This window comes from Homo sapiens, chromosome 12 (assembly GCF_000001405.40).
Source record: "Homo sapiens chromosome 12, GRCh38.p14 Primary Assembly".
Lineage (NCBI taxonomy): Eukaryota > Metazoa > Chordata > Mammalia > Primates > Hominidae > Homo > Homo sapiens.
This window is the reverse complement of record NC_000012.12, coordinates 6183132-6208637: the sequence shown is the minus strand read 5'-3', so window position 1 is coordinate 6208637 and position 25506 is coordinate 6183132. Positions and strand designations below refer to the sequence as shown.

The 25506-nt window shown below is 51.2% G+C and overlaps 1 protein-coding gene across 14 annotated transcripts in view, besides 8 other annotated features; it reads right to left on the bottom strand.

The window, feature by feature from the left end:
- CD9 (CD9 molecule) overlaps window positions 1–8692 on the bottom strand; it is a 38321-nt gene extending 29629 nt beyond the window's left edge. For 10 of the 14 annotated variants that reach the window (NM_001413249.1, NM_001413242.1, NM_001769.4 and 7 more), the window contains exon 1: window positions 8073–8238. Coding sequence is in view for 10 of the 14 variants with exons in the window: in NM_001413242.1 (NP_001400171.1) it covers window positions 8073–8138 (66 nt within the window). In the remaining 4 variants the exon portion in view is untranslated. Of the gene's footprint in view, window positions 1–7664; window positions 7797–8072; window positions 8239–8565 lie in introns of those variants that run through there. The other 4 variants (NM_001413243.1, NM_001413241.1, NM_001330312.2 and 1 more) reach the window with 4 other exon arrangements.
- Window positions 5691–6302: an enhancer, noted in NCBI's record as "H3K4me1 hESC enhancer chr12:6311502-6312113 (GRCh37/hg19 assembly coordinates)". NCBI's record gives its function as "activates a minimal SCP1, AML or CMV promoter by ChIP-STARR-seq in naive H9 embryonic stem cells {active_cell/tissue: H9 hESC(naive)}" and the evidence as "EXISTENCE:reporter gene assay evidence [ECO:0000049][PMID:30033119]".
- Window positions 6303–6915: an enhancer, noted in NCBI's record as "H3K4me1 hESC enhancer chr12:6310889-6311501 (GRCh37/hg19 assembly coordinates)". NCBI's record gives its function as "activates a minimal SCP1, AML or CMV promoter by ChIP-STARR-seq in naive H9 embryonic stem cells {active_cell/tissue: H9 hESC(naive)}" and the evidence as "EXISTENCE:reporter gene assay evidence [ECO:0000049][PMID:30033119]".
- Window positions 8142–8753: an enhancer, noted in NCBI's record as "H3K27ac-H3K4me1 hESC enhancer chr12:6309051-6309662 (GRCh37/hg19 assembly coordinates)". NCBI's record gives its function as "activates a minimal SCP1, AML or CMV promoter by ChIP-STARR-seq in naive H9 embryonic stem cells {active_cell/tissue: H9 hESC(naive)}" and the evidence as "EXISTENCE:reporter gene assay evidence [ECO:0000049][PMID:30033119]".
- Window positions 8754–9366: an enhancer, noted in NCBI's record as "H3K27ac-H3K4me1 hESC enhancer chr12:6308438-6309050 (GRCh37/hg19 assembly coordinates)". NCBI's record gives its function as "activates a minimal SCP1, AML or CMV promoter by ChIP-STARR-seq in naive H9 embryonic stem cells {active_cell/tissue: H9 hESC(naive)}" and the evidence as "EXISTENCE:reporter gene assay evidence [ECO:0000049][PMID:30033119]".
- Window positions 14493–14542: a silencer, noted in NCBI's record as "silent region_4157". NCBI's record gives its function as "represses an Ori minimal core promoter by ATAC-STARR-seq in GM12878 lymphoblastoid cells {active_cell/tissue: GM12878}" and the evidence as "EXISTENCE:reporter gene assay evidence [ECO:0000049][PMID:35858748]".
- Window positions 16870–17555: an enhancer, noted in NCBI's record as "NANOG-H3K27ac-H3K4me1 hESC enhancer chr12:6300249-6300934 (GRCh37/hg19 assembly coordinates)". NCBI's record gives its function as "activates a minimal SCP1, AML or CMV promoter by ChIP-STARR-seq in primed H9 embryonic stem cells {active_cell/tissue: H9 hESC(primed)}" and the evidence as "EXISTENCE:reporter gene assay evidence [ECO:0000049][PMID:30033119]".
- Window positions 17556–18241: an enhancer, noted in NCBI's record as "H3K27ac-H3K4me1 hESC enhancer chr12:6299563-6300248 (GRCh37/hg19 assembly coordinates)". NCBI's record gives its function as "activates a minimal SCP1, AML or CMV promoter by ChIP-STARR-seq in primed H9 embryonic stem cells {active_cell/tissue: H9 hESC(primed)}" and the evidence as "EXISTENCE:reporter gene assay evidence [ECO:0000049][PMID:30033119]".
- Window positions 25302–25481: an enhancer, noted in NCBI's record as "active region_5842". NCBI's record gives its function as "activates an Ori minimal core promoter by ATAC-STARR-seq in GM12878 lymphoblastoid cells {active_cell/tissue: GM12878}" and the evidence as "EXISTENCE:reporter gene assay evidence [ECO:0000049][PMID:35858748]".

The following is a 25506-nucleotide window of genomic DNA, read 5'->3' as shown; positions in this document are numbered from 1 at the left end:
ATCGCACCATTACACTCCAGCCTGGGCAACAAGAGTGAAACTCCACCTCAAAAAAAAAAGAACAAAAACAAACAAACAAACAAAAAAAACTAAAATCCTTGAATAGGTTTTGAATTAATAAATTCATAATTAATAAAACTGCCTGATTAACTTTATGGTATTTTTAGCCTCAGTCGAGGTTCTTCTCCTATGACCCATGTATTGTGTTGTTTCTGAACTTGGAGACTAACACACAGCTTAGACTGGGAGTGTCAGCAAGGGACTGGCACCTGAAGCTGTGAAGCTCAGTTCCGAGGAGAGGGCTTGGCAGGAGCCACCAGCTGCTTAGCCTGCTCAGAGGTGTCACTGGAAACTTGGATGTGCATTGGGTAAGCTGTGAAGGGTTACTTTTCTTTTCTTTTTTTTTTTTTTTTGAGATGGAGTTTCACTCTTGTCGCCCAGGCTGGAGTGCAATGGCACGATTTCAGCTCACTGCAACCGCCGCCTCCCAGGTTCAAGCAATTCTCCTGCCTCAGCCTCCCAAGTAGCTGGGATTACAGGCACCTGCCACCATGACTGGCTAATTTTGCATTTTTAGTAGAGAGGGGGTTTTTCCATGTTGGCCAGGCTGGTCTCAAACTCCCAACCTCAGGTGATCCGCCTGTCTCGGCCTCCCAAAATGCTGGGATTATAGGCGTGAGCCACCGCGCCTGGCCTGAAGGGTTACTTTTCTAGCAGAGCTCATAAGAGCCACTATTTCTTCCCTCAGGCACAATGCCTGGCTTAAGGATTGAAGAGGAAGGGCTCTTAAGACCCGGGTTTCTGATTTTTCTCCAAGTCAGTAGTCCCCAAACTTCTCTCTACCGGGACCTCCTCTGGAATCACATTAATCCGGGCCCCTCTCCAAGTCAGGCTGCTTTGCCTTTCCCAGTTACTCAACCAGGCTGCTTCTCAACTCCTTGGGAGTGCAGCTCCCCAAATGATCCCTCCTGAGACATTCCTCCTTTCTGCAAGTCCTCAGAGGACGAGACTTTCCGTCTGCATTTGGAGGGAAGGAGAAGAGAGACAGACCTCCTTTCTTCCTGAACAAAGATGAAGCACCAAGCTCTGGGAAAAGCTAAGCCAAGAGGCCCAACCTGGCTGGAAGATCATACAGTTGCATTTTTCGTGTGTACTAGAAATACAGAGCACTCATTAAATTAACCGAGTGAAAACCACTCCTTAGGCAATGATTAAGCTGAGAGTCAGAGGGATGGGTGGGAGGCCAGCTGTCCCATCTGAGCTGCACTTGATCACTAGGGAATTTATCATTTCTAATGCCTTTCACAAAGTCCCCTGTGATGCCCCCATTGCAGCCCCCGGGGAACGGTGAGGCAACCTGCTTCTTATGGCAGAAATATGGGACTCAGGACAGAGCAGGGGTTGTCTGGAAACTGAGGGAGAAAAACCAATATGGGGCATTTATAGCGTGAGCTCAGGCTGGGCGTGGTGGCTCACATTTATGATCCCAGTGCTTTGGGAGTCCGAGGCTGAAGGACTGCTTGAGCCCAGGAGTTCAAGACCAGCTTGGGCGACATAGAGAGACCCTCTCTGTACAAAAAAATTAGCCGGGTATAGTGGTGTGTGCTGTAGTCCCAGCTACTTGAGAGGCTGAGGCCAGGATTGTGTAAAGCCCAGGAGTTTGAGGCTGCAGTGAACTATGATGGTGCCACTATACTGCAGCCTGGGCAATGGAGAAAAAGGCAAAAAAAAAAAAAATGTCTATGGGCCTCCAGAAACAGACATAACATTTTTCTGGAGGCAGGTCGTACTGATTCCAAGGAATTCCCTAAAAAGGAATTTCCCTAAAAACGTTAAGATGTATTAGTCTAGGATGACAGGATATAGCACTTAAAACTATCCACAACTAAGTATTTTTGGAGAGGCGGGGGGAGGAAATTACCAGATAGATACAATTATTATAAAATTATCACAAAAAAATTATCTCATCTGGGGACAGGATGTTGCTTTCTACGGCTGCATGCCATCACTTGATGGAAAATGAGAATGTCCCTGGACCAGCATGACTTTTTCCATGGAATAAAACAGGCAAGTAATCTGTAGTCAGGCCTTAAAACATAAATTTAAGAAATGTAGGCCAGGCGCGGTGGCTCATTCCTGTAATCCTAGCATTTTGGGAGGCCAAGGTTGGCAGATCGCTTGAGCCTAGGAGTTTGAGACCAGCCTGGGCAACATAGTGAGATCCTGTCTCTACAAAAAAATTAAAAGGTTAGCTGGGTGTAGTGGCACATGCCTGTAGTCCCAGTTACTCAGGAGGCTGAGGTGTGAGGATCGCCTGAGCTGGGAGGTTGAGTTTGCAGTGAGCCATGAGCCATGATTGTTAACACTGCACTCCAGCCTGGGTGACAGAGTGAGCACCGTCTCCAAAAAAAAAAAGAAAGAAAGAAATGTATAAAGACTAGCCCCCGCCCCCTATTCCCCTGCATTTTTTTTTTTTTTTGTCTTCTGAATTTCCTTCCCAGTTGCAAAGGATTTTTCCTGCTCTCTGAGGCCATGGGTCTGACAGGCTCTCACCCAGATTTTCAGACTCTTAACAAGGAAGTCGTTGCTCTTCTGTGTGTATGGGGTAAAGCCTGTTTCTGCAAGGCTTTGGTTGAAAAGACCTGTGGTGGATCCAAATAAAGTCCCGCTGACCCCAACCTGGGGGAGGGAGGAACACAAAACATAAACATGCAGCTTCCTCAAACTTCTCCACTCTCCTTTCCCCAGCTCCACACAGGTCTGTCTAGAACATGCTGCCAGTAGGACCACAGAAGCTGTGGTTGGGGTGACCTCAGGCCCCCTACCCTCACAGCCAGGCTCACCCAGGTGAGAACCACACCCAGGCAAGAACCATCAAGGTTTGTGTTCTTTAGAAGAAAAGGCGCCTTTGTCAATCCAAGGTATTATTAAGTTCCAAACCCAACCCTGCAACCAAGTCCAAAAGCTATGCCTCCTTATAAAATTGAACAGAACAGGAAAACAAAAACAAACAAACAAACAAAAGCAGACAAAACAAACACAGGATCTATGTGTGTAAGGGGGAGATTCTCATCCAACACTGCTCCTGGAGGAAGGGGTGAGAAGGCTGATTTGTGAGCCCAGCAGCCGCAGAGGGCTCATCTAGAGTCAGTACTGGCAGGGCCCCAGAGAGGGCTGCATATCAAAGCACTCCCAAATTCGGGCTGGAGCCAGCAGCTGCTTCCTCTGAGCACAATAGAGCAGGGTCTGGAATCGTGCTGTGGGCCACGTTGAAAAGAAGGGGGTAGAGAACGTGAGTGTGAGCGTGTGCAGAGGAATCCTCACCACCATCAAAAGATTGGGTCTTTGTTGTTCACACCCACTGTGGGTGTAGGGGAGAGACCATCAAAATCCTGGGCAAAGGAAGCAGATACCTGGCCTCAGCTCACCTCTCCCCAAGCCTGCCAGCTTCAGTGCACGTGTAGCCAGCTTCACCCCAGCGCAGGCTGTCTGGGCACTGGAGGTGGGAGCCATTTTATGCAACAGTCCCAGCAACTTGCTTCTGGGGGAAAAGGCAGACCATGGGGAGGGGCTTTTGCCACTGCCACCCAACTTGTCCATGCCCTGCCCAGATCCGGAATCCTGATCCTTAGGGTTTCTCTGACAGGCAATTTTATTTTCAGAAGCGGGGCCTTCCCGCAGCCAAATGAGCAGTAGCAACCCATGAAATGGAGTCAGGGTTTTGATGCACAGGACAAAGTTGGCACTGATACAGGAAGGGGCAGGGAGGCCAGTGTGTGGATTGGGAGGGTCCTCCTGGCCACATCTGCGGTTTAGACTTCCACACTTCTTAGAGAACTGCTCTCACCCTCCCCAGGGCCTCATTCTACTCTCCACTAGTGAATAACAATAGCTACTGTTGGAAGATATGTCTGGTGCAATCTACTATGCTAAGTGCACTACACATACTCCCCATTTAACTCTCACAGCACCATGTGGGGTGGTCACCAGCCCCATCTGGTGATGAGACATGGAACCCAGGACTGGTGCTTTGATCACTAGGCCAAGTACTAAGGTATACGGGCAATGAACACCCCTGAGAGAGACCCCACCCAGGGTGAGGAGAGGGAACTGAGAAGCAACAGCAAAGAAAAGCACCAGCTGGGCTCTTGCTCCAGAGGTAAAGGCCAAGAAAAGCTAAGTTCTGAGGACTCAAGCCTTGGTATCCATCTCCCATTTCCAATTCAGGGCTTGTATTTTGTTTATTATATTATTATTTATAGATTTAGGGGACACGAATGTAGTTTTGTTACACATGGTGAAGTCTGGGCTTTTAATGTGACCATCACCAACATAGTATACATCGTACCCAATATTGGTTCCTATTTTGGGTTGTGTAGGAGAGTTCTATTGTTGTATGTGGTATGTGTAGGGGTGTTGGGTTCATAGACTGAGCTTGAAAGGACCTTTTGAGACCATTTGTTCCAAGCTATTGTTTTACAGATGAGGAAACTGAGGCTTAGAGCACAGAAGTGACCAACCCAAGGTTTCAAAGTGAGTTGAGGACAGAGCTGGGCTCACATCCAGGTCTCTGAATTCCCAGTGTAGGTCTCTGTGTTTCGCACCAGCCTCCCCTAGGTCTAGGGGATATGGTTTCTTGGGAAAGAGACCTCCCAGCCCCACACTGCTGTTTCCATCAGTGAGCGAGGCATGAGAGACAGTAAGCAAAGGGGCTGAGGGAGGTGGGGAGGGGATTGGGCTCTGTCAGTATAGCCAAACCTTTCCCTCTTTTGCCCTAAGGAGTTCCTCCCCTTCTCTGACCAGAAAGAGGGCAGACATGCATGTGTCAGACTGGACTGGCCCTAACCCTGGTTCCCCATTTCAGCTGGAGAAATACTTGTGTGTCTACCACATGGACATCAGCAAGATGTTTTCCCTCTCAACTGTTTTTTGGGGGGTGGGCAGGCGGGCAGGGAGGTCTGAAGGAAATGTAGAAACAATCAAAATAGAGCTAGGAGGGCCGGTTCTGGAGGTGGTGGAAGAACAGACTGATTTGCTGGTTTGGCTGTGGCCATCAGGGAGTGACCCACAGGGATGAGATCAGGCCAGGGAAGAGGCACAGCCCCCCAATAACCATCCTACTCCACTGAGGTTGGCCTCTCTCTGGATGCCTGTTGGACACCCCCTCTCAGCAGCCTCTGTGCAAAGTGCTGCTGGGCACTGGCCTCACAATTCCTGCTTTTCAAGGCCCACATCAGGTTCCGAATGCCAAGTTTATAAATGTCTGGTCTCAAGAGAGAAACGGACGTGGTGACAACATAATCACCCAAGCAGTTCCCTTAGGTTACACCTTTCCTTAAGGGAGTCTTGGGAGCTTCTTCCCACCCTTCTCCCATTCCCACTCAGCAGCCAAAACCAGTTGGGTAAAGTAACCTAGTTCTGAGACCACCCTGCCGCATCACCTTGGATAAGTCACCTAACCTCTCTGGGAAATGGTTTCCTGATCATCAGTACAGTGGGGACAATGCTTCCTGCTCTTGGCTACATCATGGGACTAGAACAAGAAAGGCTCTAAAGACTAACACTCTGCACAAGTGGACCGACCACAGTCTTCCTTTTCATTACATCATCTCCTAGGGATGAGGGCTTCATCTCCACAGGGACCCAGATACAGGACAAATGAACAGTAATTCAGGAAAACATAGCTACTGCCCATCTTCCTGCCTCTGATGAAGATGGAAGAGGACAGAAGTAAAGTAGGGGCCCCAGGAATTGTAATACTGGCTCTGTCTCTGCGATCCTGGGTAAATCACCCCATCTCTCTTCCTCTGCTGCCTCACTATGAATAAGAGAGCTGGACTGCATGATCTTCAAAAGTCATTCCAAACATTTCCAGTGTGAGTGATTTCTGTTTCAGACTACATAGGTCATCAGCTGCACCTAGGCTGGGGCCAGGCATAGGGGGTTCTGAATACGAGTGGGGTGGCAGGCTGAGGACAGTACGGACAGATTGCAGGCCAGCAGGCCACAGACAGAGTAGATACCAGTGGCCCTGTGAGCCTCGCATCAGCTTCCTGCATATGCCATGGGGCAGATGGGGGTAGGGAGGCACACTGTGGCAGTCTGTGTTTCCCTGCAGTCCCAAACCTGGATGCAGTCTAGGCAGACAGCTGAGGACTAACCAACACACCAGCCGGGAGAGACTGTACCTGGGAGGGGAGAGGAAAACTCCCAAAGTTCAAGGGTGGGTGAGGCCAGCTGCCTTCCCGCATACTTTTCTGCTGCCAGGGATTGGTGAAAGAAAGAAGCTAAGCGTGGCAGCTGGGTGGTTGCTGGGGTGGGTGGCAACACAGGAGGAGGGGTGCCCACGGCCAGCAGGGTCTTTTTAAAGCAAGTCAAGGGTTGGGAAGGAGCACACCTATATGCCGTCCTCACTGGGGTGTGTGTTATGGTGACTGATGCACTGGGGGAAGTCAGTCTCTGCAAATTGGAAAAACTGTTCAACCACCCCTTCAGCTCTGGGGAGGAGTGAATCTTAGAAGATTTCCCTAAGGAGGCTTGTGGGGACCTCAGTGACCAGCTCCAGGGGGAATAAGTGCATTTGTTTCTTTTCTACTTTTTTTGAGACAGGGCTCACTAGGTCACCCAGGCTAAGTGCAGTGGTGCAATCATGACTCACCGCAGCCTTGACCTCCCAGGCTCATGCCATCCTCTCATCTCAGCCTCCTGAGTAGCTGCGATCACAGGTGCATGCCAACACGCCCAGCTAATTTTTTATTTTTTTGTGGAGATGGGGGTCTCACTATGTTACCCAGGCTGGTCTTGAACCTGGATGAAAGCGATCCTCCTGCCTCAGCCTCCCAAAGTGCTGGGATTACAGGCATGAGCCACTGTGCCTGGCCAAGTGCACTTTTTTGTTACAAGACTCTGGTGGCATGCACCTGTTTCTACATCCATCTATCTTGAGAGTGGCATAGAGACTCTCTTCCTGCCTGCAGAGCGGCAAGTATTGTCATGTGTGTGCAGGGAATGTGGCTATAGAAACAAGGACACAAGGGTTTCCTATTCCTTGCTTCTGTCGCCTCTCAGCCTTCCCATTTGTAGAGGCTGAGTGGCCTGCAGCAGGTGTCTCTGGAGCTCCTGGCCCCGCTGGCCTCTCCAGATGAACGTCCGCTCTGCGCCCTGCCTGGCCTTGGGTGGGCCGCCTGGGCTGGCGGGGAGGGGAGAGGGCAAGGCCAAGGCTCTCCTGGGCGGGCAGCTGGCTGGCACCTGATCTCTCCCGGAAATGCACACACAGGACTCATCCCACTAGAGGCGCAGATAGGTATCTGCCCCCTCCTCTCCCGAACTCTGAGTTCTCTCCAGTGAAGATACTTATCGTCCTTGAAAGAAATCAAGACAAGCTAGTCTTTCAGGGAGCTACCAGGGAGTTCGGCGCTCTCACGGTGGCTCAGAATCAAAGTCTGAGGGAACGGGGGCCTGCGAGGTTCCTCCTCAAGGGTGGAGGGGCCCCCGACTCTCAGGGACTGGGTCCCGGGGCCGGACCCGCGGCCGAGGCACCCCTGCCGCTCCTGCGTAAAAGTGAGAGCCGCTCTTGGCTGAGCTCTCGCCGTGCCCGCACCCTCCCTTCCTGGCGCCCCCTACTACCTGGGAGACCCCACCCGGTCACAAGCCATACTGCTCACCACAGTCCTCCTTGGCCTTGGCCCAAAGAGGGGTGCTCCGCTTCTCCCTGCCTTCCTCTCTGGCACTCGGAGGGACTTGAGCTGGGAGCAGACACACACCCCAGCTCAAATCCTAGGCGAGCTAAAGTGCTCAGGACCCTCCCGCACGCCTCATCTCAAGAGGGCCCGGCTCCCCACGCCGGCTGGGCGGTGATGAGCCCCCACCCGAATGCGCCCGTCGCGGCCGTCCCGCCCGGCTCTGGACCCGGCCTTGGAGCCAGCTGGCAGCCGCAGGGCGCTCTCTCTTCCCGCCCGGTGCCTGCCCGGTGCGGGCAGTGCCAGCTGCCGGCACTCGCGGCCGCGGCCAGTGTCCGGGGCCCGCGAACAGGTGGGCCCTGAGAGGAGCGCGCGGCAGTCGCGCTCACTCACCCAGAAGATGAAGTTAAATCCGAACAGCAGGTATTTGATGCACTTGGTGCCTCCTTTGACCGGCATGGTGAGGGCTAACTTAGCCTGGGCCGAACGGGTGCGGGACTGGGGGGCGCGCGCAGCTGGGACTGGCGGGACCTGGCGCTGGATACAGATGCAGGCGGCTGTAGGCTGGTCTCCGGCTGCACTTTTAAAAAGTGCCACTCCTTAGGGCGCGCGACCCGCTGCGGTGCGCATGTGCCGGGAAAAGCCGCCCCCACTCCCCCCGCCGGCCACGCCTCCCGCCCCACCGGCCCCGCCCGGGCCGCACCCCCCCCGCCCCCCGCCCCCGCCCAGGTCGGCGAGCCCCGGCCCCAGCTGCCCCGCGGAGCCCGACCCTCTCCCTGTTTCCCCGCCTAGTCGCCCTAACCCCCACCCGCCACCCACTCCTTCTTCAAGCCGTCTTGGGGTCTTTGCAGGCAGCCACTCCCTGCCACTTTTACCGCGGACTTACGTGGAGGCCTCGCCCTTCCGGTTCCCCCGCGTTTGGTCTGGGCGCCGGACCGGGCGTTCTGCTTTGGGAGACTCTTCCCCGGGTCGTCAGGGCTAAAGGCCCCTTGGCCAAGGCCTGCTGCCAGAGTGAGGGGCCCTTCTGCTTTGCGAGGATTTAAAGGGAAGCCGCCTGGCTTAATTTCGCCCTCGTCTGTCTCCTTGCAAACCTTCGCTCGCTGACCATACTTTTCATTGGGCACAGCATGTGGGGTAGGAGGAATTAGAAGCGCGCAGTCTGGGTGGGATGACAGATGGGAGGCTTTTGGAAGTAATTAGCAAATACCTATCACCGAATAATAACACAGCTGAGGGCTGGGCAGTCCCCAAGCGCTTCCTGCACTTGAGGTTTAGTTGCCCCAGAGGGAAAAAGGGTCTGTAGACGGCTTCTGTTTTCTCTCTACTCCTCCACCCCACCCTCCCTCCTGCGTCTTTGGACTTGCTCGCTGCTGCCTTGAACTGCTCCAGATGCCGAGCTCGGAGCGCTTCTCCTGAGCTCACAAACTTTCTGTAGCTCTCCAGATTCAAGGACCTAAGTCGAAATTCCTCGTCTTGCCCTCAAGGCCCTGTACAGAGCACTGATCTGACTTCTCCCGGACCCAGAGCCCACCCCACTCGCTGGCCGGCATGCGCCCTGGCTGGCTGGCCCCCCCCCAACGTCACTTGTAGGAATTCTGTGGGTCTTTAAACACTCCTTTCCTGATTCTCTGGAGTGGACGAGGAGAGTCACCTTCTTTTGAAGTCCCCGAATCCCTTTGTATTATTTTCAAAATGAAGTTTCCTTTACTGTCCTTTATGATTACAAAAGCAAGATACAGTCATTACAGAAACAACCGAAATACCAAGAAGTGAAAGGAACAGACCTCAAAATTCTGCTCACCAGAAACAGCCACTGTTAGCACATTGCTGTTATTTGCCTGTTTATTATCAGTAGACTTGTCTCATTGGTTCAAAAACATTTTTCAGTATCTATTAGGGTATTTCATTAGGGGTAGGAGCTGAAAAACATGGATTAGTCCTTGTTTCTGCTCAGGGACCAGTGTGGGAGGAGACAGGCAGCCAGACAATGGTTTGAGGGTGATAGGTGCAGTTACGGGGAGAGGCTTGGGGGCTAAGAGGCTAAGGAGAGGCCTCTGACCCAGACTGGGAGATGATGCTGCAGAACCACAGGGAAAGTTGCCGCCAAGGGAGAATCCTGGGCAAAGGCTGGGGCAGGGGCTGTCCGGGCTCTGGGCTGGAGCCTGGAGTCACGGGGTAGTTTGTGGGAAGGTGAGAAAGAGCCTTGTGCTCCTGGACTTTGCACTCTGAGCATTAGGGGCCACCGAAAGGTTCAAGCAGGGGAATGGTTGGATCTGCTGTGTTTTCAGAGGTTCTCTGCCTGTGTTTTAGGTAGTTGGGTGGGGGAAGGCCGGAGGGGCAGGTAGGAAGCCCCTTGAGGACCAGGACCATTGTTGGCATCTCCAGTCCTTGGCTCAGTGCTTTACGGGATTGCATGGAACATGGAGATGTTGTATTTGGGGAGACGCAATCAGGTAATATGAGGGGAGCAGTGGTAGATGAAAGTTGAGCTGAGGACCAGGTGCAAATCTGCTAGGAGGCTGTGGAGTAGTTCAGGTGAGAGAAGAATGAATGAAGGCGGGGCAATGGGATAAAGCCTAGAGAAGGCAGGGCAAAACCCCATGAGGTGTCAGGCCGGGAAGGGGAGGGAGAGATCAGAGGCAGAGCAGCAGAAGCTAGTAACAAGTAGGGGCACAGGGCACATCCCCACGTCAATCTGAGTCCGAGAGGCTCCCCAGAGCAGGGGACATTGCAGCAGCTGACTTGACTTGGGAAGGTGGAGTCAGTAGTCAATGCGGAGGAGGGAATTCCAAGAGGGAACTGGATATGCAAAGACACAGAAGCGGGCAGCTGGCTGCACTGGGGAAACAACCGATAGTGGTACATGGGGAGGAAGGAGGACAAGGAAGGAGAGGCAGGGCCTAAACTGAGCCTAATGCCAAGAGGACAAGCAGAGGAATTTTGGTGATGCTTGACTTTACACATCCTAACCAGTGTCCAGGATGATTCCAGCACAGGGGAGGAGTGTGAAGCACCCTGGAGGGTGGGAAGGAGGCCGGAAAACAGTCAGTGTTCCATTGTGCCCTTTTGGGCCTGCGTCCATCTATCTTGGGAGACAGGTCTTAGGAAAAGAAAGATTTTATTGCATCTCCCCCTTCTCCCAAGTTAACAAGTACTGGTGGGAGGAGTTCAGTAAATATTTAAGTTTATAATAGAAATTACTTATTAGGGTAAACGTGAGTGTTGACAGAGGAAATCCACAGGGAGGCCTTAGAACCTGCCTGCCACAGAAGCGCTGCAGAAACGCTGCCTGTTGCTCCTATTCCTATTATTGTTTACACTGAAGAAAGAATTGGGGTCAGCCTATATAGTTCAGTGCCACATTCGTATAATCAAGGCATCCTTTTTATGTGATGAGAGCATTGGGCCTGAAGTGAGGGGGTCTGAGTTCTACTCTTGGTTCTGACCCTTTGGTCTATGTTAGGCAGGCAGCCTCCTCTCTGGGCCTCAGTCTCCTCACCTGTACAAGAGTATTGTGAAAGGAAAATAAATCTTAGGACCCCAAAATCAATAAGCCAAAGGAAAAAATCAAGCTGGGAACTGCCACAGGCAAACCTGCCTCCCATTCCTAAATAAGATAGCTACAAAGATTTTTTAAAAAGCTATGCACTTCTCGGCCGGGCGCAGTGGCTCACGCCTGTAATCCCAGCACTTTGGGAGGCCAAGGTGGGCGGATCACGAGGTGAGGAGATCGAGACCATCCTGGCCAACATAGTGAAACCGCATCTCTACTAAAAATACAAAAATTAGCCAGGCATGGTGGCGCATACCTATAATCCCAGCTACTCGGGAGGCAGAGGCAGGAGAATCCCTTGAACCAGGGAGTTGGAGGTTGCAGTGAGCCGAGATCGCGCCACAGCACTCTAGCCTGGCGACAGAGTGAGACTCCGTCTCAAAAAGAAAAAACAAAAAAAGCTATGCACTTCTTGTTGGGCGCTGTGACTCACACCTGTGATCCAAGCACTTTAGGAGGCCGACGCGGGAGGATCATGAGGTCAGGAGATCAAGACCATCCTGGCTAACACGGTGAAACCTCGTCTCTACTAAAAATACAAAAAAATTAGCCGGGCGTGGCGGCGGGCGCCTGTAGTCCCAGCTACTCAGGAGGCTGAGGCAGGAGAATGGCGTGAACCCGGGAGGCAGAGCTTGCAGTGAGCCGAGATCGCGCCACTGCCCTCCAGCCTGGGGGACACAGCCAGACTCCGTCTCAAAAAAAAAAAAAAAAAAAAAAGCAGCTATGCACTTCTTTCACAATTTGCCCATGAGGAAATTTCTGGTGGACCCTATGATATTTGCCCTAAAACAGTTCTGTTGAATTTCACCATGACAATGTAAATTGATAGCATATCTTCACAGGTACAGAAAAAAGGACAGAACTCAAAGTCATCCCTCTGCTCACCTGAGACAAATGCATATCTGATTGCTTCCTCCAATGTAAAAATGAAGATTCGCTGTGCTAGACAAGGCATAAGTGACTTATTTCTCTACCCTCCTCTGCCATGTAAATTGTGCATTCAGTGAGAGGATGATCAGTGACTCAAAAGAATGCAACCGTTTGTTTCTTACCTACCCACACCTTAAAAAAACTTTCTTCCTCTTTCCCCACCAGCCGCCTTTTAAATATTGAAGCCCTCAAAATCATCTTTGCAGAAGGCACAGATCTGCCTCCTGGGCGCCCATCTGTAACCTTGGCAAAATAAACTTTCTAAATTGATTGAGACCTGTCTCAGATACTTTTTGGTTCACAGCATTTTGGATCAGGAGGTGTCTTTCATTCCTCCTGACATTCTGTGTCACAATAAACCCCTGGGCCAAAGTGCATTTGTTACAGACAGTTAGTGCTACAGGCAACCAGGAAGGTGAGCGATGGAAAAATTATGTTTTGCCTTAACCGGAAGAGGAAAATATGGGTAAGCCCCTGAGTCAGAAATCACATGGAAGCAGCCAGGCCTTCCAGGCTTTGTGGTGCTGGAGTGGGAAAGCTTTTCCTCCCTTCCCTCAAGGCGTCCTGTCTCTGGGAAAGAAACCCCAGCTCAGGCTCAGGGTCCACTTTGGCTCTTGTGCCCCCCCTGGTGGTAAGATTTGAACACGCAGAGGCCAGGTGACCTAATGAGCCGTCACACCCATGCCCCAGGTCCCTCCAGCTGTGGGCAATGGCTTTGTAAGGCAACAGGTAGGACCCTCGCTCTCACAGGCCACCAAGGCCCTTCCAGCCACCACACCAGTGGCCATCTTGATTCACCTCCTTCACTTCTAGAAGCTTCTCTCCTGTTCCTCTTTCTAAGCTCAAATACACCACCTTATGAAGCCTTCCTGGAGCACTCCAGTCTTTTTCTCCGTGGATTACCTTGAGTCTCGCATGTGTGATTCTCTGGTCATCATCATCTTCCTTTATGTGTCCACTTCTTGGTAGTGAGCTCCTCGAGGGTGCACTTGCATTTGATTAATTTCTGTGCTCTCCCTAGCTCCCGGTCCCTTCCTGGCCCAGAGCAGGCCCTCTGCAAACATCTGCAGAATGACGGCTGGGCGTGGGGCTTTCTCAGGCCCCTGCCCTTCTCTCTCAGACCTCTCCTGGAGCACTCATCCCCTTTTGTGCCTTCCACCATTTTCTCTGTTTAACTCATCTCTCTGTAAATGCAAGTCCTGATATCCAAGAGCCTGCAGATTTTTTTTTTTTGAGACCAAGTCTCGCTCTGTTGCCCAGGCTGGAGTGCAGTGGCTCAATCTCGGCTCACTACAACCTCCATCCCTGGGCTCAAGAGACTCTCTTGCCTCAGCCTCCCAAGCAGATTGAATTACAGGTGTGCGCTGCCATGCCCGGCTAATAATTTTTTTTTTTTTAGACGGAGTCTCGCTTTGTCACCCAGGCTGGAGTGCAGTGGCACGATCTTGGCTCACTGCAACCTCTGCCTCCCGGGTTCAAGTGATTCTTCTGCCTCAGCCTCCCAAGTAGCTGGGACTACAGGCGCACACCACCATGCCCAGCTAATTTTTGTATTTTTAGTAGAGACGGGGTTTCACCATATTGGCCAGGCTGGTCTTGAACTCCTGAATTCGTTATCTACCCACCTCAGCCTCCCAAAGTGCTGGGATTACAGGCGTAAGCCACCGTGTTTTTTATATTTTTTATATTTTTTATATTTTTAGTAGAGATGGGGTTTCCTCCTGTTGGTCAGGCTGGTCTTGAACTCCTGGCCCCAGGTGATCCGCCCACCTCAGCCTCCCAAAGTGCTGGGATTACAGGCGTGCGCCACCGTGCCTGGCCCGTTTCCACTTCTAACGGCCCTCCAAATAGGCCCACGTTCCAATCCCCAAAACTGTGAATGTGTTACTTTCCATGGCATAGCCTGGACCATCCCAGTGGGCCCAGTGGAATCCAAAGGGTTCTTATAAGAGACAGGTGGAAGTGTCAAAGCCAGGGAAGGAGATGTGACGACAGAAGCAGAGGTCGCAGTGATGCACAGCTGTGTGTTGGGGAACAAGGACAGCCTCTAGAAGCTGGAGAAGGCGAAGAAACGAATTCTCCCCTGCAGCTGCCAGAGGGATCCAACACAGCCCTGCCCACCCATTTTAGATTTCAGACCTCTAGAATTGTGAAATAGTAAATATGTGTTACTTTAAGCCACTAAATTTGTGGTTGTTACCGAAGCAATAGGAAATATAGTAATCTCAATGTAAACATCAAGATCAGAATTCATAATCTCCAAGGGCTTTCTAGGCTCGCAGCTGACTTTCTCCTCAGCCCTCCCTGTCTCTAATCAGTCAGCACCAACACCTCCCATCACCTGGGGCTCCTCCTTCCCCCAGCCTCACAGCTGCTTAGTGAATGTGATTCCTGTTTCTTAGCTGTTCTTACGTCATTGCTGGGAGGCACCAGGGCTAAGGCGGGTTGTAGTGATTGAGTGGCAGAGCACAGATCAGACCTCAGAGCTTCTGGTTTCAGTCCAGGGTTGGATCCTGATCTTTTGTTCCCCCTGATGCCCTGCCATCCGCAAGGGGGCTGCATCCTGGAAGCTCATCTGCAGCCCAAACGGCTGTTCTACCCTTGCCCTGCCTCGCTGCTGTTCACCTGCCCAGGATGGACACAACATTGGACCCAGAGAGTCTTGCTGCGTGCGTCCTTGGGGGTGGGCTGCCCTCCTCTCACCCATCACTTCTTTTCCTTGCATTAAGCACACACACACTCAACCTGGAAACTGCCTATGTCCAGTGTGGATTTTATGAAGGTTTCACGGATAGGTGGATGAGGGGTTCCCTCTCATATGCCAGAGAGAACCATTCTAAGAATCCCTCTGGATAGCTCTTCTCAAACGTCCAATCTGTGGCAGCCACCCCTATCATCTGCCCCCCAGCCCAGCCTCAGCCAGCCCCCTGCCCTGTGGATGTCCTCTGCATATGTCTGTGTGGAGCAATTTAGCTCTAAACTTGGCATTTTCCGTTTGTGTCCCCACCTCCCCTCACCCTGCTCAGCAAAACAAATCATGGCTCTCAGGGTCTGTCCTCCTTAGTATATGGGGGTTGGGGGCAGGCGGGGAGCAATTCTAAACAAGCAATATTTAATATCATCCTTTCATCAGACTCCTGAAGCTCAGCTTTACTCTTTCCTGCTCAAAGATCTCCCAACTCCCCTTACCCCTGTTCTACTTCCAAACAATGCTCCCATAGCATTTACCTTCTCACAGAGTGGAATGTTTCCTTGGTATGTGCATTGCTATTTACCTGTCTCCTCCAGCTAGAATGCAAAATCCGCATGGCTGTTCTGTTCTCTATGTATCCCAAGGGCTTTGAACAGTGCCTGACATACAGTAGGTGCACAATATTTATTGAATGTATGGAAAGCCGATGTCTCAATTGTAAGATCATCATACAGGCCCTCTGCTCTCTCGCCTTAACCTCTGTTTGCAAATCTGTTCACTCTTTTGGAATACCACATGCATCCCCAGCTCTATGCCTGGGTCCCCACCTCTTCTTTCCGAAGCCCAAGCTCTTGGCACTTCCTCCTTTCTGCCCTTCAAGCAGCCTGCACCATCTCTGAGGCCAGCCCAGCCCCTGCCTTCCCCAGCACCCTCAGTCATCTTAGTCTGCTCTGATCCTCTTTCTCAGGACACTCCTGTAGCAACTTCTTTCTGAATCATCCACTAGACTCTTACAAGATTTGTCCTGGGTGATAATTTCAGGTTTCATGCATCTGTTTAAAAGAGTTGGCTGGGCGGCCGGGCGCGGTGGCTCACGCCTATCATCTCAGCACTGTGGGAGGCTGAGGCGGGCGGATCACGAGGTCAGGAGATCGAGATCATCCTGGCTAACACAGTGAAACCCTGTCTCTACTAAAAATACAAAAAATTAGCCAGGCGTGGTGGCGGGCGCCTGTAGTCCCAGCTACTAGGGAGGCTGAGGCAGGAGAATGGCGTGAACCCGGGAGGCAGAGCTTGCAGTGAGCTGAGATCACACCGCTGCACTCCAGCCTGGGCGACAGAGCGAGACTCCGTCTCAGAAAAAAAAAAAAAAAAAAGATTAGCTGAGCGTGGTGGCAGGTGCCTGTAATCCCAGCTACTCAGGAGGCTGAGGCAGGAGAATCGCCTGAACCCAGGAAGCGGAGGTTGCAGTGAGCTGAGACTGCGCCACTGCACTCCAGCCTGGTGAGAGTGAGACTCCGTCTAAAAAAAAAAAGATTAGCTGGGCATGATGGCGGGTGTGGGGAAAAGAGAGATCAGATTGTTACTGTGTCTATGTAGAAAGAAGTAGACATAGGAGACTCCATTTTGTTCTGTACTAAGAAAAATTCTTCTGCCTTGAGATGCTGTTAATCTCAATGTCAAACTCAGGGTTAAATGGATTAAGGGCGGTGCAAGATGTGCTTTGTTAAACAGATGCTTGAAGGCAGCATGCTCCTTAAGAGTCATCACCACTCCCTAATCTCAAGTACCCAGGGACACAAACACTGCGGAAGGCCACAGGGACCTCTGCCTAGGAAAGCCAGGTGTTGTCCAAGGTTTCTCCCCATGTGACAGTCTGAAATATGGCCTCGTGGGAAGGGAAAGACCTGACTGTCCCCCAGCCCGACACCCGTAAAGGGTCTGTGCTGAGGAGGATTAGTAAAAGAGGAAGGAACACCTTTCTGCAGTTGAGACAAGAGGAAGGTGGGCAATGGAATGTCTCGGTGTAAAACCCGATTGTATATTCCATCTACTGAGATAGGGGAAAACCGCCTTAGGGCTGGAGGTGGGACATGCGGGCAGCAATACTGCTCTGTAAGGCATTGAGATGTTTATGTGTATGCATATCTAAAGCACAGCACTTAATTCTTTACCTTGTTCATGATGCAGAGACCTTTGTTCACGTGTTTATCTGCTGACCTTCTCTCCACTATTATCCTATGACCCTGACACATCCCCCTCTCCGAGAAACACCCAAGAATGATCAATAAATACTAAGGGAACTCAGAGGCTGGCGGGATCCTCCGTATGCTGAACGCTGGTCCCCTTGAGAGGTGACAGCGTGCTGGCAGTCCTCACAGCCCTCGCTCACTCTGGGGGCCTCCTCTGCCTGGGCTCCCACTTTGGCGGCATTTGAGGAGCCCTTCAGCCCGCCGCTGCACTATGGGAGCCCCTTTCTGGGCTGGCCAAGGCCGGAGCCGGCTCCTTCAGCTTGCAGGGAGGTGTGGAGGGAGAGGCGCGAGCGGGAACCGGGGCTGTGAGCGGCGCTTGCGGGCCAGCTGGAGTTCCAGGTGGGCGTGGGCTTGGCGGGCCCCGCACTCAGAGCAGCCGGCCCGCCCTGCGGGCCCCGGGCAATGAGGGGCTTAGCACCCGGGCCGGCGGCTGCGGAGGGTGTACTGGGTCTCCCAGCAGTGCTGGCCCACCCGCGCTGCGCTCGATTTCTTACTGGGCCTTAGCTGCCTTCTCGCGGCGCAGGGCTCGGGACCTGCAGCCCACCATGCCTGAGCCTCCCACCCACTCCGTGGGCTCCTGTGCGGCCGAGCCTCCCCGATGAGCGCCGCCCCCTGCTCCACGGTGCCAAGTCCCATCAACCACCCAAGGGCTGAGGAGTGTGGGCGCAGGGCGCGGCACTGGCAGGTAGCTCCACCTGCAGCGCTGGTGCGGGATCCACTGGGTGAAGCCAGCTGGGGTCCTGAGTCTGGTGGGGATGTGGAGAACCTTTATGTCTAGCTCAGGGATTGTAAATACACCAATCGGTACTCTGTATCTGGCTCAAGGTTTGTAAACACACCAATCAGCACCCTGTGTCTAGCTCAGGATTTGTGAATGCACCAATTGACACTCTGTATCTAGCTGCTCTGGTGGGGCCTTGGAGAACCTTTGTGTCGATACTCTGTATCTAACTAATCTGGTGGGGAGGAGGAGAACCTTTGTGTCTAGCTCAGGGATTGTAAACGCACCAATCAGCGCCCTGTCAAAACAGACCACTGGGCTCTACCAATCAGCAGGACGTGGGTGGGGCCAGATAAGAGAATAAAAGCAGGCTGCGTGAGCCAGCAGTAGCAACCCGCTCGGGTCTCCTTTCACGTGGTGGAAGCTTTGTTCTTTCACGCTTTGGGTCTGCACTGCTTTTATGAGCAGTAACACTCACCACGAAGGTCTGCAGCTTCACTCCTGAAGCCAGTGAGACTATGAGCCCACTGGGAGAAACGAATAACTCCTAGACTTGCTGCCTTAAGAGCTGTAACACTCAACGCGAAGGTCTGCAGTTTCACTCCTTAAGCCAGCAAGACCACAAACCCACCAGAAGGAAGAAACTCCAAACACATCTGAACGTCAGAAAAAACAAACTTCAGACGCGCCACCTTAAGAGTTGTAACACTCACCTCACCGCGAGGGTCCGTGGCTTCATTCTTGAAGTCAGTGAGACCAAGGACCTACCAATTCCAGACACACCCTGGGCCCCCTTTTTTTCTTTCTCTACACTTTGTCTCTGTGTCTCTTTTCCAAGTCTCGTTCCACCTAATGAGAAGTGCCCACAGGTGTGGAGGAGCAACCCATCCCTTCAGGCAGGTGCCTGTAATCCCAGCTACTCAGGAGGCTGACGCAGGAGAATTGCCTAAACCCAGGAAGCGGAGGTTGCAGTGAGCTGAGATGGTGCTATTGCATTCCAGCCTGGGCGACACAGCAAGACTCCTTCCCCATAAATAAATACTCTCCAGCTAGATTACCAGCTCCTGTTGTACCCACAGTAGGTACCTTCCAGACACTTAATGTAGTAGGTCTGAAGAACTAACACTTGCATGGGTACATAAGATGTAACTAATGCTGTTCTAACTGCTGTATATAAACTCAATCCACAAACAACCCTTTGAGGTTGATAGTTTTACAAATGGGGAAGCCAAGTCACAGGCGGTTCATGCTCTTGTTAGGAAGCAGCAGAGCCGGGATGTAAACCCAGGTGGCCTGGTTCCAGAGCCCAGGTGCTAAGCTGCTGCTTCCTGTGGTAGGTAAATGTGGACTGGCACTACACTGCCGTTTTTGCCCTTTGACTGTAGAGGTGGGTGAAGGGGCTGCAGATGACTCCTCAGCAGTTGTGCCATCTTGAAGGTGCCTCCCTGCAAGGCGACTCTGAGTCTTAGGGCTGCTGACAGGTGGTGAGCCTGCAATTGGGTCCTGCCTTTGCTGGTGCTTGTCTGTTCCTCTGAGGCTCGCTTTCCACAGCTGCAGAGCGAGGATGATTACTGCTCTTTCTCCACCATGAGGGGTGGGGATGGGCGGGTATGTGCCCAGGCAGCCTGCCCCTGGCTCAGTGGTAGGCAATGCCAGCCCATGGGTAGCAGCTGCAGCTTCTCTTCACTCTGTGGCTGCTGGCTTCTGTTCTGGTTGGTGGTTCTGGCTTCAGGTGGAGGAGCAGGGACTCTGGGGGCTATGTATTTGTGGTATTTCCTGCGTAAGAGGGTAGAGAAGCTGTAGGCAATTAGCATGGGGCTTGAAATTAGAAGTCACAGGTGCAAGCCCTACTGCATACTTACCTGGGAGCAGAGATGACCTGAGCAAGTCTCTGCTTTTCTGAGACTCCATTTCGTTATCCACAAAATGGGCTTAGTAAAAACTCCTACTTTGCTGTTGTAAGAGAGTCAGATGAAATCCTGGATGTGTAAGTGCTTTGTAAACTATAAGGGTGCTTATAAACTTGATTTTCAATTTTAATCTCAGTACAGGAGTAGTGGACTTGGTTGTTATAAAATGCTAAATAGCCCCAAGGCTTGGAGTCTTGGAGAATGTTGGCAAGATGAGCATTTTCAGCTCTGTCTTCTGAGTGTCTTTGCCCAGCATGCTAGGTCCTGTTCACCCCACATTTACTGAGCACCTGAGTGCTAGGCTGTGGGAGGTGCCCAGGATAAGCCACGCCCTAGTTTTGCTCATGAGAAACTCACCTCCTAACTGGTGATATAGGATGTGGTGGACGCCAATCATTAGATGGTAACAAGGCGAGGAAGAGTTAGGGAAGTGAGGAGTTGCAGGGGTCCAGATATCTGAGAGCAGGACTGACCAGGCAGCCGTAGCAAGACACAGGTGGGGACAGGGCAGTGCTGGGGGCCACTGGGCTCAGCTCTATGCCTGCTTCCCATTTCCACACAGCTTAGCCTAAGCTGGTCCTGAGAAGGTTTTATTCATATCAAAGGGCAAACGAAGTTGCTGAATCTATCTTGCTGACAGTTTCTTTGTGTCTCATATAATGTTTGGCTGATGCTCCTGAAACTATAAGCACCCAGAGGCAGGGTCGCTGTCTCTCCCAGCTGTATCTGGGGTGGGTTGGACAAAGGTCCCCCTAGAGGGCCAGTGTGTGTGTGCACACGTGTCTGCATGTGTGTCTGTGTATAAGAGATGGGACTTTCGTCTGTAGGTTCAGGTAGATATGGGCAGGTAAAATACAGTGAAGGTAAGAAGCTGTCACTAATGTCTACCTGTGGCCTGTGGGAAGGGTTTAGAGAGAGGGAGAATATGGCCATGGAGTCACTGCCTAAAGACAAAGGAAGTCTGAACCTCATTGTGTGGCACGGGCCTTTGTAAACCAGCCTCTGCTGACGTCCAGCACCTGATTTCCCACTCTGGCACCTTATATGCTCTAGCTGGTTTTATTTGTTTATTTTTGAGACAGGGTCTCACTGTGTCACCTAGGCTGGAGTGCAGTGGTGAGATCATGGCTCACTGCAGCCTCGATCTCACAGACTCAAACGAGACTCCCATTTCAACCTCCCAAGTATCTGGGACTACAGGTGCACGCCACCACCCCCAGCCAATTTTTGTATATTTTGTAGAGATGGGGTTTTACCATGTTGCCCAGGCTGGTCTCCAACTCCTGGACTCAAGGGATCTGTCCGCCTTGGCCTCCTGAAGTGTTGGGATTGTAGGTGTGAGCCACTATGCCTGGCCTGCTCTAGCTTTTAACAGCTCTACTTCCCTAAATACCTCGAACTCTCTTTCTTTCCCTCCCTCCCTCCTTTCCTTCCTTCCTTCCTTCTTCTTCCTTTCTTCCTTTCTCTTTTCCTCTTTCTTTCCTTTCTTTCCTCTCCCTCTGTCACCCAGGCTGGAGTGCAGTGGCATGATCTCAGTTCACTGCAATCTCCACCTCTTGCCAACCCTCTTTCTTAATAAACTTTTAATTTTGGAATAATTTCAGTTTAAAAAAAGTTGCAAAGATAGTGCAGCTTCCTTCTAATGTTAACGTCTTATATAATCGTGGTATATTTGTCAAAACTGAGAAATCAACATTGGTACAATACTGTTAACTAGACTGCAGACTTTATTTAGATTTCATCAGTTTTTCCACTGATGTCCTTTTTCTGTTCCAGAATCCAATCCAAGTTTCCACATTGCATTTTGTATTTTGCATTTTTTTTTTTTTTGGACATAGAGTCTCGCTGTCGCCCAGGCTGGAGTGCACAGTGACACGATCTTGGCTCACTGCAACCTCTGCCTCCCAGGTTCAAGTGATTGTCCTGCCTCAGCCTCCTGAGTAGCTGGGATTACAGGCACCTGCCACCAGGCCTAGCTAGTTTTTGTATTTTTAGTAGAGACCGGTTTCACCATGTTCGTCAGGTTGGTCTCGAACTCCTGACCTCAGGCAATCTGCCCGCCTCAGCCTCCCAAAGTGCTGGGATTACAGGTGTGAGCCAATGCGCCCGCCCTGTATTTTGCATTTTTTTAAATTCTCTGGACTCACTGGGCTCATTTCCTATTTCTCTGTTTTTGACCCTGTCATTCTCTTTCTCTACAATAACTTTCTTGTTTCCAGCAAACTCCTATTCATCCTGCAGAACTCCTCTCTTAAATTAGGGATAATGTTGGGAACTTGGTAGGATTGGGGTTTTGGGATCTGGCTGTTAACAATATTAATTGACACTCCCTTTTCCATACCCAGGATCTCATTTGATGCTGCTTCGGTTTTTATTGTGCCCTTCTTTATGCAAATACAAGCAAACACTAATAGATGTTATTCGCCATTCCACCTCTCCCAGCCGTGGTTACTAGAGGGAATGTGTTTAGAGGTGGCTCTCACAGGACTGTGCAGGTGGCTGGTGGCAGAGCTAGAGTAGGACTTGGACCTCCCGACTTCCAGTTTAGCCAACCCCTCCCCCGTCCTGCACATTCTGCGCATCTCCATTTTTCCCGGTTGTCCAATCTGGGCACGCTTTGGTTTAACACCTGGGTCTAGGAGTGTGATATGGCTCTGATGGAGGGATGGTGGGTTTCCTGTGGCTCTCCCACCCTACCCACATAGAGTGACTGCAGCACTCTTGACTTTGGGGACTTTCCTCAGGGCTAAATTGTATCGCTGGCATTCCCACCACTTCCCCACCCACCTCCAAGCAGGCCAGGAAGCCAGAATGTCAGAGCCTAGACTCCCCAAGTCTGTTCACCACGTGTAGCTTTGGTGGGGCCTTCTGCCTCCCATCCGCTCCAGCCCAGAGCTCCACTGAGGCTTCCCCTCACCCACCACTTTTTGGGACCCCTTGGGAGCCTTATCTCCATGAAGCATTAGATTTTTATTTTAAATTTCATTTAAAAATAGATCATTTGTTTATATAACTGAAAAATAAAGATACAAGAGAGGGAAACGTGTTTCTCCTGGAAACTGTTAATCTGTAACAGAGATTTAGGAGTTCTGTCCACCAAGGGCAACGTGTGGGCCTGATTCTTGAATCCTGATGCAGACAGACCAGTTATTAAAAAAAAGGTTTTGTAGGCAGTTAGGGAAATTTAAATATGGACTAAGGACTAGATGATGTTAAGGAAATATTGTTAACTTTCTTACGTGTGATGATGGCATTGTGGTTATGTGTTTTTTGTTTTTGTTTTTTTTTCTCTCTGAGACGGAGTCTCGCTCTGTCGCCCAGGCTGGAGTGCAGTGGCGCGATCTCGGCACACTGCAAGCTCCGCCTCCCGGGTTCACGCCATTCTCCTGCCTCAGCCTCCCCAGTAGCTGGGACTACAGGCGCCCGCCACTACGCCCAGCTAATTTTTTTGTATTTTTAGTAGAGACAGGGTTTCACCGTGTTAGCCAGGATGGTCTCGATCTCCTGACCTCGTGATCCGCCCGCCTCGGCCCCCCAAAGTGCTGGGATTACAGGCATGAGCCACTGCGCCCGGCCATGGTTATGTTTCTGAGAAAACCGTATCTCTTAGAGATACACGCTGCAGTTTTTATGGGTAGAATGATATGATGTCTGGGATTTGCTTTAAATTGTTCAGTCCCCTTCCCAAAAAGTGGAGAGATAAAATGCAATAAGAATGCAAAATCGTTGATGCTGAGCGATGAGTATATGGGATTCATTATACTGTTCTCTCTACTTTTGCGTGTGTTTGAACACTTGCATAACGACAGCAAAAATCTCCATCCAGTCTTGTCCCCATCAGGCTAGCTCTTCCCCAATACTGGTTCCTTAATGTATCCTTCATTATGCAAATACTAGTATATATTGTTATTCTCCCCATTTAAGAATTTTTTAACACCAGAAGAAGCACCTTGCTACTGATTCGGCACCTTGCTCTTTTCTCTCTCTCTCTCTTTTTTTTTTTTTTTTTAGTAGAGTTTTGTTTGTTTGTTTTTAGTAGAGACGGGGTTTCACTGTGTTAACCAGGATGGTCTCGATCTCCTGACCTTGTGATCCACCCGCCTTGGCCTCCCAAAGTGCTGGGATTACAGGCGTGAGCCACCACACCCAGCCAATTTTTTTGTATTTTTAGTAGAGATGGGGTTTTGCCATGTTGGCCAGGCTGGTCTTGAACTCCTGACCTCAGGTGATCCGCCCGCCTCAGCCTTCCAAAGTGCTGAGATTACAGGTGTGAGCCACCGCGCCTGGCCTCTTTTCTCTCCTTTTTATATGGCTGGCAGGATAATGGCCCCCACAAAGGTGACCACACCTTAATCCCTGCCAGGTGTGCATGTTACCTTACTTGGCAAAAAGAACTTTGCAGATGTGATTAAGGACTTTGAGATGGGGAGAGTATCCTGAATTATCCAAGTGGGCTCAATCTAATCCTATGGATCCTTAAAGTCAGATAATCTTTCCTGGCTGTGGTCAGAGGGAACTGGGACAAAGGGTTAGAGAGACATGACAATGGTGGCTTTGCAGACAGAGGAGGGGCCAGGAGCCAAGGAATGCAGGCAGCCTCTAGAAGCTGGGAAAGGCAAGGAAAGGGATTCTCCCCTGCAGCCTCCAGAGGGGAACACAGCCCTGCCCACACTGAGATTTTAGCCCAGTGAGACCCACATGTCAGACTGCTGACCTCCAGAAGTGTGCAATAAATATGTGTTAAACTTGTGATAATATGCTATAGCAACAATAGAAAACAACGGCATGATATCTCGGAGAGATTTCCGTATCAGTGCAGAAATTGAAGCAGCATCAGTTCCTTATGGTTCTACACGGGGTCTGGAGTCCAACAGATCTGGGCTTGAGTCCAGGCTCTGCCACACACTAGTTATATAATTCTGGGCAAGTTACATCACCTCTCTGAGCCTGCCTCCTCATCTGTAAAAGGGGAATACTAAGAGCTCCTGCTTCATAGTGTTGTTCTAGGATTAAATCATACAGTGCATACAAAACACTTAGCCTGGCACATAGAGAATGCTCACGAAAGAACAGCTGGTAATATGAGTTACATAACTGTGATGATTACAACAAGGAGTGTTCCCTGAGTTCTCCTGGCCTCACTGTCCTCTCTTCTGACTCCTTGCAGACTGAGAACGCAGCACATAAATGAGCCCTTGGTTTCTGCGGTACACACCCTCTCTCGTCTTGTGTGCTTGGTTCCGTCTGTGTGCAGCCCTGTCTCCTAGACTGTGGTCAGCAGGACCCTGTTTCCAATGTCCTGGGGCTGGTCATTAGGATTGCACACCGCCCGAGGGGTTGCTCTATTAACAGACGGCTTCTGGGAGTGGCTGGACATCACTGTGCCCTCACTCTTTCCAAAGTTGAGGTTCCCTGCTTCCCACGCTAAAGGCACGTCATGGGTCCAGTGGACCCTGGCATCCTCCCACACAGCATTGATTCAGAGTGGTGGTGACCTTCAGAGTCCCTCCCAATGTCCCCAACAGCCAGCTTTTGCATGAGCTTACCCCTCCTGAGGCAGGCCACTCCACTCTTGTGCAGTCTGGTTATTGGAAAGTTTCCCTCCCTTCCCATAACCTTTGTCCATGTCCTGCCCTCTGAAGCCACATGGGATGAGTCTGCCACCCCTTCCTAGTAGCAGCCCTTTGGCCTTCCAGAGGAGACTTGCAGGGGCCTGTCCCAGCCCTGCCTCTTTGTGGCTGGGTGGCCCCAGGGTTACAAGAGTTTTTG